General features: G+C 41.4%; 1 protein-coding gene across 18 annotated transcripts in view; it reads left to right on the forward strand.

Annotated features, from left to right (window-relative positions):
- SRGAP2 (SLIT-ROBO Rho GTPase activating protein 2) overlaps positions 1–18940 on the forward strand; it is a 260896-nt gene that overhangs the window by 120044 nt on the left and 121912 nt on the right. The window contains exon 1 of one of the 18 annotated variants that reach the window (XM_047416532.1): positions 16480–17331. The exons of 15 other annotated variants lie outside the window; for them this stretch is intronic. The gene's annotated coding sequence lies outside the window, so the exon portion shown is untranslated. Of the gene's footprint in view, positions 1–16479; positions 17332–18940 lie in introns of those variants that run through there. 2 more of the 18 variants (XM_047416535.1, XM_047416536.1) reach the window with 2 other exon arrangements.

Raw genomic sequence — 18940 nt, forward strand, 5'->3', positions numbered from 1 at the left:
ATCAGCATCAGCATCAGCATCTGCTCAGCTGTAGGCCATGATTGTCTGTACTGTTTACCAGCAGCTCATGTAATATGCTTGATGTAAGACCTTAGGATAATGTTGATCTGGCCTTTCAGACATGAAGCCCCGGGGCACTGCACATTGACACCCAAACTTGCAAACTTTTACGTCCTTTTGCGAGACTGTTTGCTAGTGCCCTGTTCTGAAATCCTTGAAATTTCTCCTCCTGGACTTTCTTCAGTTACATGCTTTGGCCTCTCTAATAGCTCTTTTGCATCAATTCTGATGACCTGGCCATTTTCTCCTGTCTGTCTGGGAATGGCTTCCAGAATCCCCTTCCTCTGCCCCATTTAACCCTCTTCCTCCATCTCCCACACACTCATTTTATTTCTCTTTCCTCCAGACACATATAACCTGGTCAGTGCTGCTGATTCCAGCTGTTCTGAATCTTGTGTACAGCTTAAGTTCAAAAACAGATGGGCCCAAAGTATCCTAGATGCTGTGCCAATTTCCACTGCATGAAAACAAATTACTGAAAAGCATCAGGAAATTTTAGAATAGTTTTGGGGTTTGATTCTCTATCTTCTCAATGGTCCTTCCTCCCCAACTCTTCCATTTCTCTTCACCGTCCCTGTCCCCCCATTATACCTTGCCACTTTCCATCTCTTCTTCATATTCCTCACTTAGCAAAGGCTGGTTTTTAAAACCTTTATTCTCATTTTTACTCTTTCTATGTACTGATAGGTTTAACCATCAGGATGGGACTGTGTTGATAATCAAGCTAGGGCTGTTGGTTGTTTTTCTAGACGTTTATACCCTTTTAAAATCTTCCATCTAGGACTAGGGACCTTATGTCCTTATGTCCTTTTCATATAGAGAAGGTAAGGCTGGGGCCTCTGTGTCTGTGGGTACATTTGTAGGTCAAATAATTCACCAGCTTGCAAATAAAGTAGATATTCTTCTATTGACTTTATCACTGGGGGGTGCACAATTGTGCCAGTGCCATTGTCTGCCCTTGTCGGGAGTGAGTAGACACTCCCTGTAGACAGGGAGCGTGTTCCTTGGAAAGCAGTGACATTGGACCCACACCATTGCTTTCAGAATCCTCATTCTGGGAATATGCCAACTGCTTTCTCCCAGTGTTCTGTAGGACATTGTTTAGCTTTGGCATTCCTAGTCACCCTAAAAATAAGAGGAAAACAATCATCGTAGTTGGACCACTTATCTTACAGGTATGTAAGGAAGACACTGGGGTCATTTACAGAGCATGGGGAGAAAGCTGTTGGCATGGTACAGTGGTTATTGGGTGCCCACTGTGAACAGACATTGTAGGAACTGTCTTCAAGAGAAGCCCTTGAGGGATAGGCTTCTAGAAGTTCAGGTACATGCTGGATTTATCTATGCAAATTATAATGTTTCCCCGCTTCCCTCCCTCCCTCCCTCCCTCCTTCTCTTCTTTAGAAGAGAATCCTCAGATTCTCAAAAAGTATCAAGCAGAGTCCTATGGATGGTAACTGAAAGAAAAAAAGAAAAAAACGATTCTCAAAGGGATCTGGAATACGTAATTATCTCCCATAATTTAAGACCATTACTCTGGAGCAGTGACTTTAAAACATTTTGATCATGAATCTCTATATTTTATACTACAAGCTGGAATATACTTATATACACATAAATAGCTGAGAACAATACTTTCACAGAACAATACTTATCTTTGCTTTGTGTGATGTACTCTGAGATTTTCTACTTTGTTCTGTTATTCTTTTTTTTTGTTGAGATGGGGTCTCACTCTTTCACCCGGGCTGGAGTGTAATGGCGCCATCTTGGCTCACTGCAACCTCTGCCTCCTGAGCTCAAGTGATCCTCCCACCTCAGCCTCCCGAGTAGCTAGGACCACAGGTGCACACCACCATGCCCAGCTAGTTTTTTGTATTTTTGGTAGAGACAAGGTTTTACTGTGTTGCCCAAGCTGGTCTCAAACTCCTGACCTCAAGTGATCTGCCTGCCTCAGCCTCCCAAAGTGCTGGGAATGCAAGTGTGAGGCACTGCATCCAGGCTACTTTTTTCTGTTATTCTCTTCTACTGTTGCCTACTTAATTTTTTGAGAAATGCTAGTTGGTGACCTATAAGTTGATTTTTTTAAACCTCACTAATGGGTTGAATCCCACAGTTTGTAAAACATTGCTTTAAGAGCATTGTTTTTTAAATTTTTTGGTGTGCATAAAATTACCTGACATGCTGATTTGAAAGGCAGATTCCTGGGCATCAGTCCACCCCTAGTAAGTTGTAATCTCTGGCAGACGAGCATAAGAATCCACATTTTAAACAAGCATTCCAGGTGATTCTGATGCAAGGTGGTTTGGGGTCTTGAAGCCTCACACTTACAGAAACTGCTCTCTTTTGCATTTATGAACCTGGCTGTTGAAGGCTTCAGATCACATGCTTGGGGATGGTAGATACTAGTGGGGATCATCTGACTCCAGACTGGGAATCTTCTCGTTACAGGATGACCCCAATCACTTAGGTTTACTTCTGGATCTTGATAATTCCTTGATAGTCCTCTTTTACTGATGTCTCTTATGGCCCTTAAGAAGGCAGAGAAGGGGTTAACTGAGGCCACAGAATAGAGAGAGTGAAGGAACTGAAGGGTCATTTTACAGAGTGACTGGGGTGTGGCCCAGTCCTCCAGTAGGTGCCCAGAGCCAGTCCAAAATTAGAATGGGGTGGGATTCAAAACTGCTTTTCCTATTCACTTGCCTTTCATGTGTAACCACATGCAGTGTGTCAACATGCTTTCAGGCGCCGTTAGGCAGCAGCAGTTTTGCTCCCTCTGGGTTCATGGACCCTTGGTATTCTTGTTATGTGTTGTCTTAGAATAGCTCTGCGCTCTGGGGCTCTGAGCATTGTCCATTAACTCTTTCAGCACCAGCCCTTTGAGATGCTAAGGGCTTTTGAATGAAATGTAATAACCACCACAATGAAATAAGAAAACGGTTACTAGTCAGGAGACCTGGATTCTTGCCCTGCTCCACCACTGTCTGTGTGACCTCAGGCTCCCTGAGCCTCAGTTTCCTCACTCAGAAAATGACAGGCTTGGTCTAGACTCTAGACCATCTTGAAAGTCCCTTCTAGCTCTGAAATTCCATGATTCTATTTTTGTACACTCTGGCCTTTTCTCTTTGCACATGATTCTTTCGTTTAAAGTCTCAGCTGCATTAGGCACAGAAGATTCACTGAGTTTGGGAATTTCCAGAGAATCAGATGATAAATTAATAGCAACAAAATGTATTCCTGGCCAGGTGAGGTGGCTCATACTTGTGAGCCTGGCACTTTGGGAGGCTGAGGCGGGAGGATTGCTTGAGCCCAGGAGTTTGAGGCTACAGTGAACCATGGTCATGCCCCTGTACTCCAACCTGGGCAACAGAGCAAGACCCCATCTCTGCAAAAAAAAAGTATGGGCCGGGTGCGGTGGTTCACACCTGTAATCCCAGCACTTTGGGAGGCCAATGTGGACAGATCACCTGAGGTCAGGAGTTCGAGACCAGCCTGACCAACATGGAGAAACCCTGTCTCTACTAAAAAACACAAAATTAGCCGGGCATGGTGGCACATGCCTGTAATCCCAGCTACTCAGGAGGCTGAGGCAGGAGAATCGCTTGAACCCAGGAGGCGGAGGTTGCGGTGAGCCGAGATCACACCATTGCACTCTAGCCTGGACAACAAGAGCGAAACTCCGTCTCAAAAAAAAAAAAAAAGAAGTGTTCCTATTTAGTATACTAATGAAGTAGGGAATTTATGAAACAAGTTTATTATAAAAGGAATTTTGAGATGTATTTGTCTTTTCAGACATGATTCTAGTCACTTTGTTTTGTGGGTATGAATTCATTGTGTGGGCTGTTGAGTAATGATAGTTGTCATAATTATAAGAAAAGATGTTGATACTGATATATAGTTGTAGAACACTTTCATGTTTATAAAGTTTGTTTAAGGGCATCACCTTGTTTGATTGGATCTTCACAAAAGTCATGTGTGTTAGGCAGGGCAGGTCTGCTGTCCCTGCTTATCCCATTTATTTATTTATTTTTTATTTATTTATTTTTTTAAAAGATAAACAGTTATTCATTTTTGTTTAAGACATCAGGAGTACTAATAAAGAACCAACTGGTAAACTGCTGATAATTCCATATAATATATCTAGCACTACAACTACACTGAATCATTTTTTTTTTTTTTTAATACTTTAAGTTTTAGGGTACATGTGCACATTGTGCAGGTTAGTTACATATGTATACATGTGCCATGCTGGTGCGCTGCACCCACTAACTCGTCATCTAGCATTAGGTATATCTCCCAATGCTATCCCTCCCCCCTCCCCCCACCCCACCACAGTCCCCAGAGTGTGATATTCCCCTTCCTGTGTCCATGTGATCTCATTGTTCAAATCCCACCTATGAGTGAGAATATGCGGTGTTTGGTTTTTTGTTCTTGCGATAGTTTAGTGAGAATGATGGTTTCCAATTTCATCCATGTCCCTACAAAGGACATGAACTCATCATTTTTTATGGCTGCATAGTATTCCATGGTGTATATGTGCCACATTTTCTTAATCCAGTCTATCATTGTTGGACATTTGGGTTGGTTCCAAGTCTTTGCTATTGTGAATAATGCCGCAATAAACATACGTGTGCATGTGTCTTTATAGCAGCATGATTTATAGTCATTTGGGTATATACCCAGTAATGCGATGGCTGGGTCAAATGGTATTTCTAGTTCTAGATCCCTGAGGAATCGCCACACTGACTTCCACAATGGTTGAACTAGTTTACAGTCCCACCAACAGTGTAAAAGTGTTCCTATTTCTCCACATCCTCTCCAGCACCTGTTGTTTCCTGACTTTTTAATGATTGCCATTCTAACTGGTGTGAGATGATATCTCATAGTGGTTTTGATTTGCATTTCTCTGATGGCCAGTGATGATGAGCATTTTTTCATGTGTTTTTTGGCTGCATAAATGTCTTCTTTTGAGAAGTGTCTGTTCATGTCCTTCGCCCACTTTTTGATGGGGTTGTTTGTTTTTTTCTTGTAAATTTGTTTGAGTTCATTGCAGATTCTGGATATTAGCCCTTTGTCAGATGAGTAGGTTGCGAAAATTTTCTCCCATTTTGTAGGTTGCCTGTTCACTCTGATGGTAGTTTCTTTTGCTGTGCAGAAGCTCTTTAGTTTAATTAGATCCCATTTGTCAATTTTGGCTTTTGTTGCCATTGCTTTTGGTGTTTTGGACATGAAGTCCTTGCCCACGCCTATGTCCTGAATGGTAATGCCTAGGTTTTCTTCTAGGGTTTTTATGGTTTTAGGTCTAACGTTTAAATCTTTAATCCATCTTGAATTGATTTTTGTATAAGGTGTAAGGAAGGGATCCAGTTTCAGCTTTCTACATATGGCTAGCCAGTTTTCCCAGCACCATTTATTAAATAGGGAATCCTTTCCCCATTGCTTGTTTTTCTCAGGTTTGTCAAAGATCAGATAGTTGTAGGTATGCGGCGTTATTTCTGAGGGCTCTGTTCTGTTCCATTGATCTATATCTCTGTTTTGGTACCAGTACCATGCTGTTTTGGTTACTGTAGCCTTGTAGTATAGTTTGAAGTCAGGTAGTGTGATGCCTCCAGCTTTGTTCTTTTGGCTTAGGATTGACTTGGCGATGCGGGCTCTTTTTTGGTTCCATATGAACTTTAAAGTAGTTTTTTCCAATTCTGTGAAGAAAGTCATTGGTAGCTTGATGGGGATGGCATTGAATCTGTAAATTACCTTGGGCAGTATGGCCATTTTCACGATATTGATTCTTCCTACCCATGAGCATGGAATGTTCTTCCATTTGTTTGTATCCTCTTTTATTTCCTTGAGCAGTGGTTTGTAGTTCTCCTTGAAGAGGTCCTTCACATCCCTTGTAAGTTGGATTCCTAGGTATTTTATTCTCTTTGAAGCAATTGTGAATGGGAGTTCACTCATGATTTGGCTCTCTGTCTGTTGTTGGTGTATAAGAATGCTTGTGATTTTTGTACATTGATTTTGTATCCTGAGACTTTGCTGAAGTTGCTTATCAGCTTAAGGAGATTTTGGGCTGAGACGAAGGGGTTTTCTAGATAAACAATCATGTCATCTGCAAACAGGGACAATTTGACTTCCTCTTTTCCTAATTGAATACCCTTTATTTCCTTCTCCTGCCTGATTGTCCTGGCCAGAACTTCCAACACTATGTTGAATAGGAGTGGTGAGAGAGGGCATCCCTGTCTTGTGCCAGTTTTCAAAGGGAATGCTTCCAGTTTTTGCCCATTCAGTATGATATTGGCTGTGGGTTTGTCATAGATAGCTCTTATTATTTTGAAATACGTCCCATCAATACCTAATTTATTGAGAGTTTTTAGCATGAAGGGTTGTTGAATTTTGTCAAAGGCTTTTTCTGCATCTATTGAGATAATCATGTGGTTTTTGTCTTTGGCTCTGTTTATATGCTGGATTACATTTATTGATTTGCGTATATTGAACCAGCCTTGCATCCCAGGGATGAAGCCCACTTGATCATAGTGGATAAGCTTTTTGATGTGCTGCTGGATTCGGTTTGCCAGTATTTTATTGAGGATTTTTGCATCAATGTTCATCAAGGATATTGGTCTAAAATTCTCTTTTTTGGTTGTGTCTCTGCCCGGCTTTGGTATCAGAATGATGCTGGCCTCATAAAATGAGTTAGGGAGGATTCCCTCTTTTTCTATTGATTGGAATAGTTTCAGAAGGAATGGTACCAGTTCCTCCTTGTACCTCTGGTAGAATTCGGCTGTGAATCCATCTGGTCCTGGACTCTTTTTGGTTGGTAAACTATTGATTATTGCCACAATTTCAGCTCCTGTTATTGGTCTATTCAGAGATTCAACTTCTTCCTGGTTTAGTCTTGGGAGAGTGTATGTGTCGAGGAATGTATCCATTTCTTCTAGATTTTCTAGTTTATTTGCGTAGAGGTGTTTGTAGTATTCTCTGATGGTAGTTTGTATTTCTGTGGGATCGGTGGTGATATCCCCTTTATCATTTTTTATTGTGTCTATTTGATTCTTCTCTCTTTTTTTCTTTATTAGTCTTGCTAGCGGTCTATCAATTTTGTTGATCCTTTCAAAAAACCAGCTCCTGGATTCATTGATTTTTTTGAAGGGTTTTTTGTGTCTCTATTTCCTTCAGTTCTGCTCTGATTTTAGTTATTTCTTGCCTTCTGCTAGCTTTTGAATGTGTTTGCTCTTGCTTTTCTAGTTCTTTTAATTGTGATGTTAGGGTGTCAATTTTGGATCTTTCCTGCTTTCTCTTGTGGGCATTCAGTGCTATAAATTTCCCTCTACACACTGCTTTGAATGCGTCCCAGAGATTCTGGTATGTTGTGTCTTTGTTCTCGTTGGTTTCAAAGAACATCTTTATTTCTGCCTTCATTTTGTTATGTACCCAGTAGTCATTCAGGAGCAGGTTGTTCAGTTTCCATGTAGTTGAGCGGCTTTGAGTGAGATTCTTAATCCTGAGTTCTAGTTTGATTGCACTGTGGTCTGAGAGATAGTTTGTTATAATTTCTGTTCTTTTACATTTGCTGAGGAGAGCTTTACTTCCAACTATGTGGTCAATTTTGGAATAGGTGTGGTGTGGTGCTGAAAAAAATGTATATTCTGTTGATTTGGGGTGGAGAGTTCTGTAGATGTCTATTAGGTCCGCTTGGTGCAGAGCTGAGTTCAATTCCTGGGTATCCTTGTTGACTTTCTGTCTCGTTGATCTGTCTAATGTTGACAGTGGGGTGTTAAAGTCTCCCATTATTAATGTGTGGGAGTCTAAGTCTCTTTGTAGGTCACTCAGGACTTGCTTTATGAATCTGGGTGCTCCTGTATTGGGTGCATATATATTTAGGATAGTTAGCTCCTCATGTTGAATTGATCCCTTTACCATTATGTAACGGCCTTCTTTGTCTCTTTTGATCTTTGTTGGTTTAAAGTCTGTTTTATCAGAGACTAGGATTGCAACCCCTGCCTTTTTTTGTTTTCCATTTGCTTGGTAGATCTTCCTCCATCCTTTTATTTTGAGCCTATGTGTGTCTCTGCACGTGAGATGGGTTTCCTGAATACAGCACACTGATGGGTCTTGACTCTTTATCCAACTTGCCAGTCTGTGTCTTTTAAGTGGAGAATTTAGTCCATTTACATTTAAAGTTAATATTGTTATGTGTGAATTTGATCCTGTCATTATGATGTTAGCTGGTGATTTTGCTCGTTAGTTGATGCAGTTTCTTCCTAGTCTCGATGGTCTTTACATTTTGGCATGATTTTGCAGCGGCTGGTACCGGTTGTTCCTTTCCATGTTTAGCACTTCCTTCAGGAGCTCTTTTAGGGCAGGCCTGGTGGTGACAAAATCTCTCAGCATTTGCTTGTCTGTAAAGTATTTTATTTCTCCTTCACTTATGAAGCTTAGTTTGGCTGGATATGAAATTCTGGGTTGAAAATTCTTTTCTTTAAGAATGTTGAATATTGGCCCCCACTCTCTTCTGGCTTGTAGGGTTTCTGCCGAGAGATCCGCTGTTAGTCTGATGGGCTTCCCTTTGAGGGTAACCCGACCTTTCTCTCTGGCTGCCCTTAACATTTTTCCCTTCATTTCAACTTTGGTGAATCTGACAATTATGTGTCTTGGAGTTGCTCTTCTCGAGGAGTATCTTTGTGGCGTTCCCTGTATTTCCTGAATCTGAACGTTGGCCTGCCTTGCTAGATTGGGGAAGTTCTCCTGGATAATATCCTGCAGAGTGTTTTCCAACTTGGTTCCATTCTCCGCCTCACTTTCAGGTACACCAATCAGACATAGATTTGGTCTTTTCACATAGTCCCATATTTCTTGGAGGCTTTGCTCATTTCTTTTTATTCTTTTTTCTCTAAACTTCCCTTCTCGCTTCCTTTCATTCATTTCATCTTCCATTGCTGATACCCTTTCTTCCAGTTGATCGCATCAGCTCCTGAGGCTTCTGCATTCTTCACGTAGTTCTCGAGCCTTGGTTTTCAGCTCCATCAGCTCCTTTAAGCACTTCTCTGTATTCGTTATTCTAGTTATACATTCTTCTAAATTTTTTTCAAAGTTTTCAACTTCTTTGCCTTTGGTTTGAATGTGCTCCTGTAGCTCAGAGTAATTTGATCGTCTGAAGCCTTCTTCTCTCAGCTCGTCAAAATCATTCTCCATCCAGCTTTGTTCCGTTGCTGGTGAGGAACTGCGTTCCTTTGGAGGAGGAGAGGCGCTCTGCATTTTAGAGTTTCCAGTTTTTCTGTTCTGTTTTTTCCCCATCTTTGTGGTTTTCTCTACTTTTGGTCTTTGATGATGGTGATGTACAGATGGGTTTTCGGTGTGGATGTCCTTTCTGTTTGTTAGTTTTCCTTCTAACAGACAGGACCCTCAGCTGCAGGTCTGTTGGAATACCCTGCCGTGTGAGGTGTCAGTGTGCCCCTGCTGGGGGGTGCCTCCCAGTTAGGCTGCTCGGGGGTCAGGGGTCAGGGACCCACTTGAGGAGGCAGTCTGCCCGTTCTCAGATCTCCAGCTGCGTGCTGGGAGAACCACTGCTCTCTTCAAAGCTCAGATGGAAATGCAGAAATCACCCGTCTTCTGCGTCGCTCACGCTGGGAGCTGTAGACCGGAGCTGTTCCTATTCGGCCATCTTGGCTCCTCCCCCCTACACTGAATCATTTATTTTGAGCCAGGGCTTGAAGCAGACAATCCAAGCATCCTTCTAAACTATCCTCAGTCTTGTCAACAGCTGTTATCTTCAGCTTCTTCAAGGTATCACTGAGATTATCCATGTTGCTCCCCGAGGGTGAGGAACCGGCGGGGCGAGGCGAAGGTCTCTGGTGCGGGCGGCGCGGCTCTGTGTCCTCCCTCTACCTCCGTCTCTATTTATTTATTTTTTAAGAGACAGGTCCTATGTTGCCCAGGCTGGTCATTTACAGGCACAATCATTGTGCACTGTGGCCTCAAGCTCCTGGGCTCAAGCGATCTTCCCACCTCAGCTTCCCGAGTAGCCAGGAGTACAGGCACGTGTCACCATACCTGGCTTCCATTTACTTTTTAAAACAGGTGAAGAGATTTTGAGACCCAGAATGCATTTGTGACTTGCCCAAAGTTACCTGGCTAGTAAGTGGCAGAGCTAAGCCTAGACTCTGGGTCTTAAGCATAGTTCAAGGCGCTTTCCACAGAGTGTAGATGGAGTTTCACATTTTTCATCCAGATTCCTTAAGGACCTGAACTTGCTAATTTGATCTACTAACCTGGAAATTGACTAGGGCTTCTCTTATACCACTCAGCCCTTTAAAGTTTTGCCAGTAAAGTATCAACATGGTTAATAATATGCTGTAATTTAGAGCACACAAGCCAATGGACATACAAATTTGGTCATTCAGTAGCCACCCAGAGAGTGAGCACAGATACACACTGGAGCAGCTGATTTGGCAAGATTGGTGGAGGCTGAACATATTAACTAGTCATTAAATGAATCATGGTCTTTCTGTCCTCAACATTTACAGGATTGCTTTGGCTCTGGCATCTGTTGTTAGTCAATACTGATTAAGGACCCACCTATTCTTGGTGATAGGTGTTCATTAAACATTCTAAATATACCCTGTCCTCAAGAGAATTCCTTACTGGGCCTGGGGGTTGTTCCTCCTGCACCCCCACACAAAAAGAGACTTCCTTCTAATAAAGGCAAGATAAATATCCAAATAACACATGAGAACTGATAATGACACATGCAGCCAATCTGATGACTGTGTAGACTTCATTCCATTTAGATCTATAGTTTCACAGAATCAAGAATTTTATTTTTTTCCCCTCCTTTTCATTGTTGTTATGAGCCATGTAAGGGGACTCATTGTCCCAGGGACGGGTATTTGGGAGGGGGAGATCTTTATGGATACCCTTTCTTCTCAGTGGCTTATTGCTATTTGGCATACTAAAGTACAATTTGCTAGCCAGGAGGAGTTTCTGGCTGTAGATCAAACTTCTCCGCTCATGCCTGGTGCCAGAGAGATGCTTGCTCTTAAGGGGGTGGTTACTGCTTTGATAATAAGTGTGTGGATTTCTGAGTGACGTCATTCCACTTTGGCACAGACAGGTATTTATTTCTCTAGAATGAACTACCAGGGGTGAGCCAGACTGTCTGCCTCAGTCATTTCCCAAGGTTTCATTTATTTTAAAAATCTGCTAACACATCTGTGTGTATTTTTTTTCTCTGTATGTTTGTCAAGTGCTATAATTACTTATAGGGCTTCTGGTGACATCTTAATTAACTAGAGAAGAAAAAATCAAAGATATAATTGTAGAGTTGTTCACAGGTTTTTCTATGGACTTTGTGGATCCAACTGTCAACATGATATTGATGGTTATGAATTCTTTTTAAGCTGAGAAACGTATAAATTTTATGTTCCTCGGTCATTGATCACACCTTTGTTCTGTCTTTTACCCTTGCTATGGTGTTTTAGTTTAACTGAGTGAATGAGTCAGCTCAGGCCTTTGATGTGATCACAGCCTATTTTGGGGGGCTTTCAGGGAGCATATTTAATACCTAAGTGCATTTCTAGGCCCTTAGTTCTATGGATTATATTGGGGTGGCATTGTAGCATGTAGATTGTACCAAGAGGGTTTAAAAGCCTCTTTATTCATTCCTCCCTATAGTTCTGGGAATGCTAGTGCTAACACATGGGATGTAAACAAAGGGAAGGTCCCAGGTCTACAGAAGCTATAGAGGGAGCTGGTGGGCAGGCAGATTTTCTAAGTCAGCCAAATCAGGGTTTTGCAGTGGGTTCATCCAAGCCAATGTACACACAAGCCACAAGACCAGGATAAGATGTGGGTTGTGGCTGATGCACAGTTTAGGAGCAGGAAAGCCATGTCTTGGATCCAGGAAGTCTGCAAACATGGGAGAAGCAGGTCAGAAAAAAGAATGTTGATCCTGTTATTCCTAGAATAGTGGCTAGCCCATAATAGGAGGCTCAATTAATATTTGTTAAATGAATGAATGAAATAAGAAGACATCAGGGACTCAGAGAAGGAGCCTGGACAATAAGATATCAGAAACTAGGCAAGAAATGTGGATGGCAGAGATTCAAATCTTGTGTAGACCCCCGTGTCTGGTCTTATGGGATCCATAGATCTATCTTAAGAGATATGAAGACCCTCCATTTGCCTCCTTTCTGCTGTGAGCACCGTGCCATAGGGGTGGTTGAAAGGAAGGCAGAATCTCTCACTTAACATAAATTGATGGAGACATTTCCAGTTAGTGTCTACGATAGCTTAAATTTGGGGACCATTCCTAGTTCTCTGACCTAACCCACAAGAACCTTGGTCCTATAATCATTCAGGAAATCGTAAGCACTTAATAGATGTCAGACATGGTGCTAGTCCAGTTCTCTACTTCAAAGCAGATTCCTAAGGTCCGGCTCTTGGGCATGCTGTTCTCTCAAGGGTGTGGTTCTGCTCCATGGAACTAATCCAGAGCCACAAGAATCTTATTTTCATACAGTCCTTCCCCCAAACCTGATTATAGGGGACAATTTAGGCTATTTTGAGAAGGTGGGTCTACCACTGCTTGAATCCTTTCTAATCATCTGTCTAGGCTACCGAAGACAATTTGTGGTACTCACTTGTCCCTGAAAATTTGAAAGTTCATTTCTCCATATGTAGACTATATTATTTTTGCCTTTGGCACTTTTCTCTGTCTCTGAACTCTCCTCCTCTGATCTCATTGCTGGCAACGCTGAAGCCAAAGCTGTGATAAGCCCAGAGAAGTGTGCCCGCCCCCTGCCTGCCCGTCTGTCTTTGAAAGATACCTTCAGGCTGCCGCTGTACTACTGGGTCACAAAACCAGCATCCACCATTACAGGCAGAATCGTTTTCAAGTCATTTCCTACCTTGGTGATTTTTACCCCCTCCTTCTTTTAACACCTTCCCCAGCAAATCCAATCCATCCTCTGGCTTATCTGGGTCAGCAAGGGTCTGATTTTATGCATGACACTGTCAGACCATAAATCCGCTGCAGCTTTGCCTCTCTATCCAGCCTGCCTGCTTCTGTCAGCATCAGCAAAATGCATAATAGAGAAAATAAGCCAGAAAGGCTAATAACACTCATCTGAATAAAATAATCTCTTTGGCTGCCTCAGTTCATTTCATTTTAATCAAGGTGCCAGGAGGGAATTTAGGTTAAAAAATCCAACCTCCTTCTTGTCACAAGTTCCCTGTCCAACCATCACTTAAATGATTCCTTTTATCATGCATGTACCTTTTTTTATTCACCACATACTTGTATGTTCAATAACATATATTGAATGATGTATTTAACTCTTTAAGTTTTGTCTATCATCACAGATAGGTCTGTTTTTAAAAGCGAGAAATTATATTCTGCTTAGATGTATTGATAGTTGCCATCTCTCTATGCAGATTGGCGGGTTTGATAGGAATTCTGAGACAGGGGATGGGAGCTTAGTATAAGTTGCTGAAGCATCTAGGGTTTTGGCAATCTGTGCTCCCTTTGGATTCCTTTCTGTCAACCTCAGCACACAGTTCCCAGTGTGGAATGCAGGACTGATTGTTCTACCTTGTCCCTTAGGGAAAGGACAGTGGGAGATTAAAATCTGCTCTCCTGTTGGTATCTCTCTCACGTCTTCCCAGAGCCTTACGGCTGCTTTGTTAATTGCCTGTTGCTGCTGTCTTACTCAAACCATTATTTGCTGAAGGCTGTGCATTTTCAGCAGGCAGCAATCTTGGCCCTGGCCCAGAGCCGGGTGAGAAGCATGTTGGAAATTGATGAAAGCTGAGTCCTAGTTTGTTTGGAAATAAAAATAATAATATTTCTTCACATTTGTATAGTGCTGAACTATTGGCATAGTTCTTTTGCATCCATCATTTCATTTGATCCACACAACAGCCCTGAGAGGTGAGCAACTTAGAGACTATTGGCCCAAAAGGAAACACACCTCGTTATAGCAATGCAGAAGCTCAAGCTATATTCCAGCAATGCCAGCCTCATGCCATGCATTCCATCTGCACAGCCATGAACGTAGCAATTATTAATTAAATGGCACCTTAGGTCAGGAGAGCGTCTAGGATTTTACAGCCATACTTTGAAGATCTTTGAGGAGTGAGATGTATACCAATAGGGCACGTGTCCATTTTATAGATGAGATGATAAAAACCAAACAGAGGTGATATGGAAAAGAACCATAATAGAGAGGCCAACTTGGACCTTTATGGACTTGGCTCTTCACCATGGATATTTTAGAGAAATCCCTTTAAGCGCTTGTTGCTAAGTTTGTTGAACGTCCATAAATAGTCCAAGGTGAGGGAGAAAAGCTGGTCTAATGTCTTCGAAGCTAATGATTCAGCTATGCAGGTTTATCTCTTTCAGTGCATTTACAGTGATAATGTCTTCTGCAGATGTACAGGCAGCATGTGACTTTCCGGGTCTCCTTTCGACTCCAGAGTCATTCCCTCTCAAGTACAGTATGATGTTTTCTTGATCTTCCTCCTGAAAAACATTTTAAGTAAGAAAAATACTCCTAGGTATTTTGTCTGCTTTTTAGGGATTAGTGTTTGAGGAGGTTTGCAGCTGCTCAGCACATTCCTAAGGGATGCAGACCCTTTCCTTTAAAGGCCCAAGTATTATACAACCTAAGGCTCTGGGGGTGGGGAAAGTAAAGAGACTGTGCAAACAAATGATAGATGGAAAAGATATAAAGACAAATTTCAATCTCCTAACCAAACGAAGTTCCCTTGGCTTCAGCGGTCCCAAATAAAATGAGGCTGCAAAGCTTCTGGAGCAGGAAACCACTCTAGCAGAGCCTTAATATGCTCCCTATGAAATCACGTCTCGTTGCCGTGCTTATTTTCCAGCCTGAAGTGTGTTTCATCTTTGTTCGTGTTGGCTGGGAAAATTGTCTGTATATTTGTGATCCCCTCCTCCCACTTTCTCTCTACCTTACTTGCTCTACCACTACCCAAAAATAAATAAATGAATTAATTGAAACACCTCAGTTGAAAGGAAGAATATGTCTGAGAAAGCTTACAGACTCAAAGGACCAGAAATATTGTGTGAAAAGCTGCATTAATAGTAGGAGAGGCTGAGAACTCCTGGAAGAAACAGCCAACAGGATCTAGTGCTGGTTTTTTAAGCATAGACTCCTTTTTTAAAATAAAAATCTTGCATAGAGCCTCAATATATGAAACAGATCAAAGCAGTATTTTTATTGGTATAAATCTGCTTTTAAAGTACAAATTTATAGAGTACTTATTATACTGTCAGTCAATGAGAACAATGAGGCTGTTTTCATGAACTAAAAATATTGAGATCAGGATTATGAATCAGTTATAGTTTGATATTCGTTTCAGCATCTGGTTTTGGTTTAGGTAGTCAGTCCAATATCAAGAAAATTCTGATTAGCATAGATAAGTTATTGTAATCTTGAGCTTTAAATTGATTTAGATGGAAAAAAGAAGATATTTTTGTTTTAAAGTTGAGTCACTATCATCACCTAGCAGCTATTCCCCTTCATAAATATTAATTGGATAAGCCCCAACATGTATAATAGGCATCGCAACAACTGATGATGAGATGGTATGATATTAAGCATGTTGATTTTCGCTACCCAACCACGGTCTAACATGAACCCAGCCTAGGCCCTTGAGCCTTCTATGGCATGTGATTGAACCTTGCTGCTGTGTGTCAAGTTATAGGCTCACCTGTACAGCTTTATTGGAGGAGGCACACACAGGCTTGAATGAAAAAATAAACCTATGCAAAGCTACATGTATTCTAATTAATAGCATATTGTTCAGAAGTTCCAAGGCATACAGTGATTCTTTCTTCCAGGGTTTACATAAAACAATGCTAGCAGCCTGCGAGACATTGCAGTGGTATCTAATGCAGGGAGACTGGGTCCTGGGTCTCTTGCTCATGTCAGTGAGGGTTGCTCATTTGAATGGATGTGTCACCGTTTTTTAAATTGAAATGTGATTTTCTGCTAATTCCAGAGTATCTCAGAACACAGTTTAAAAGCTCCTGCTCTCTGAAACCAATACTAATACTGTAACTATCGCACAAAATGCTGTAAGGATGGAAATAAATACATGTGAAAAGTACTTATAGCACCTTGCAAGTTCTTTTTTCTTTTTTTTCTTTTGTTTTGAGATGGAGTCTTGCTCTCACCCAGGCTGGAGTGCAGTGGCATGATCTCAGCTCACTGCAACCTCTGCCTCCAGGGTTCAAGTGATTCTCCTGCCTCAGCCTCCCAAGTAGCTGGGATTACAGGTGTGCACCATCCACACTGAGGTAATTTTGCATTTTTAGTAGAGATGGGGTTTTGCCATGCTGGCCAGGCTGGTCTTGAACTCTTGGTCTCAAGTGATCCACCTGCCTTGGCCTCCCAAAGTGCTGGGATTGCAGGTGTGAGCCACACCTTACAAGTTCTCAATAAAACTTATTAGCATTAAGTGATAAGGCATTTTATTTTAAAAGATTTCTACTTCCAGCCATCCTGTTTATTGACCCATCTTTGTTCAGTCATCTTTTCTTTTGAGGACACCCTGGGGATATGTGCTCTGCATCCTTTTCCATGGTGTTAGGTTGATTTTGCCTCCTCTGCTTCCTTTTGATCTGCGGTCTACCTTTCTGAGCTAGCTGGCCTTTTGTTTGTACCACCATTAAAGTTCTACTTTACTATAGGTCTTTCTTTGTCTCCCTTACTATATTGCAGCATTTGCACTTTTATAACCACTAAAGCACCTAACACCATGCCTTGTTCATTTAAGATACAAATGTGTGTACATTTGTGGAATTGAATTGTGGCATTATTTGTGTGTATGTAAAGTGCTATAGGGAAAGAACCAGTATAGACCCCCCCCAATCCATCTTCTCCCTTAAGAAATAGATTGAAACCAGTTGTCAATGTAAAGTCTCATGAGATCTGCCCCTTTAAAAAGCATGCTTACTGAGGACATGGGTATCTTGCCGAGAGACACCACTTGATTAAAATGTAAATTAGGTTATTTAGAATTTTGTAACTGAAATCTAATTGGAATCATTTTGAAAGTTTTCTTGCAATGGAAACATCAGATGCTATGGAATGCATGTGTTCAAATATCTTACCATTTTGAATTTAGGATTGTTTCCAGTTCACTTTTTTTTCCCCAGATACTAAACATTTTGAAAGGAGTAAATTAATTATGTGTCTCTCTTCCTCTCAGCTGGTATATTTTTGATTTCCATAGAAATCTTTCAGTTTCCCTAAAAAGGTAAGTGTTGTCACAGTGATTGGCACGCTTAAGAGTTAGTGATTTTGGCTACAGAAGAGTGATGCCTGGGGCAGGGGGTGAGTGGTACCTGGATATAGGTTTAGAACAGTTTCAATTTGGACTCTAATATTAATTGGTTTGAAGTAACTTCTTGGTTGGGTTAGACAGATATTTGATTTGTCTGATGTATTCTGAAGTCCAAGTAAGTATGGCATGATTATTTGTTAATAGTTACTACTATAGAATTGGAAAAGCCTTCTAAGTTGAACTTCATGGTTTACAAATCACAAGTGCCTGGCCTTTAGTGCTGAATGGAGGCAGTACTGACTCAATAACCAAGCTACTCTCAACTCACTTTCTTTGTAGTAGGAGTCTGACTGGAGCAGGGAAGAGAGGAAAGGGGGAAAGAAACAGATAGTTATTATTTGCAGTGAATGACAGTACTCGCTTTGCAGTTATAGGCTTGGTTTGAATTCTGGAATTGCCACTTTTTAGCTATATGACCTTGGGCAAAGTGTTTAAAAATTTTTAGTCTACTTTTCCTCATCTGCCAAATGTGGTTAATAACACCCACCTCATCAGGTAGTTGTGGGGTTTAAGTCAAACAACATGTATAAAGGGCCCAGATATGTGTACAGTATCCCTTGATAAATAGTACTGCAAATTATTCCTACTTTTGTTTCTCTCCTTAAAGAAATCCAACTTCCAAATGTAGAACTTTCTGTTGCTTAAGTTAATGCTGAGTTGGTAATCAATAATTCTTTTGGATCACAATGTTTTCATTAGAAATGAGCATCTAGGGCTGGGCGCGGTGGCTCACTCCTATAATCCCAGCATTTTGGGAGGCCAAGGTGGGTGGATCACTTGAGGTCGGGAGTTCAAGATCAGCATGGTCAACATGGTGAAAACCCATCTCTACTAAAAATACAAAAGTTAGCTGGGCGTGGTGGCAGGTGCCTATAATCCCAGCTACTAGGGAGGCTGAGGCAGGAGAATCTCTTGAACGCGGGAGGCGGAGGTTGCAGTGAGCCAAGATTGTGCCACTGTACTCCAGCCTGGGTGACAGAGTGAGACTTTGTCTCAAAAAAAAAAGGGAATGAGCGCCTTGGTTTAGCACTTTACTGCTCCACTCAAGCTGTAGACATTTTAGGAACGCATGTTCAGGTATGGTTTGTGTTCTTGATTGTATGGGACATGAGATCATGGCTCAATAAATGAAATCAAAACTTCCTTAGATGTGTTCTGTGGAACTCCAGAGTTTTCAGTAACATTTTAATGGCATATGTCTCCAAATTTGCCTTTATTAAATCCTACAATGGATACATTTGTGGGGATTTTGTAGTGCTGTAGTGATTTTTGTCTCTAGACAAAATCTCTAACTTTGGTTTCTAACCCTAGAGACAAACCAAATGACTTAGTGGCTAAAATGATGGACTTCAGAATCACCTTAGACCTGGTCTAGCCAGACAATGCAGAACTGTTGTTCTAGTCCCTGGCGCCCTCTTACTTGTTGTGTTAGTCTTACTCGCTGTAGACAAGTGACAACCTCTCTGAGCTTCAGTTTTCTAATCAGTTGAAGGGGGATAATGGTAGTTCTTTCCTTAAAATG

The sequence above is a fragment of the Homo sapiens genome, chromosome 1, assembly GCF_000001405.40.
Source record: "Homo sapiens chromosome 1, GRCh38.p14 Primary Assembly".
Taxonomy (NCBI): domain Eukaryota; kingdom Metazoa; phylum Chordata; class Mammalia; order Primates; family Hominidae; genus Homo; species Homo sapiens.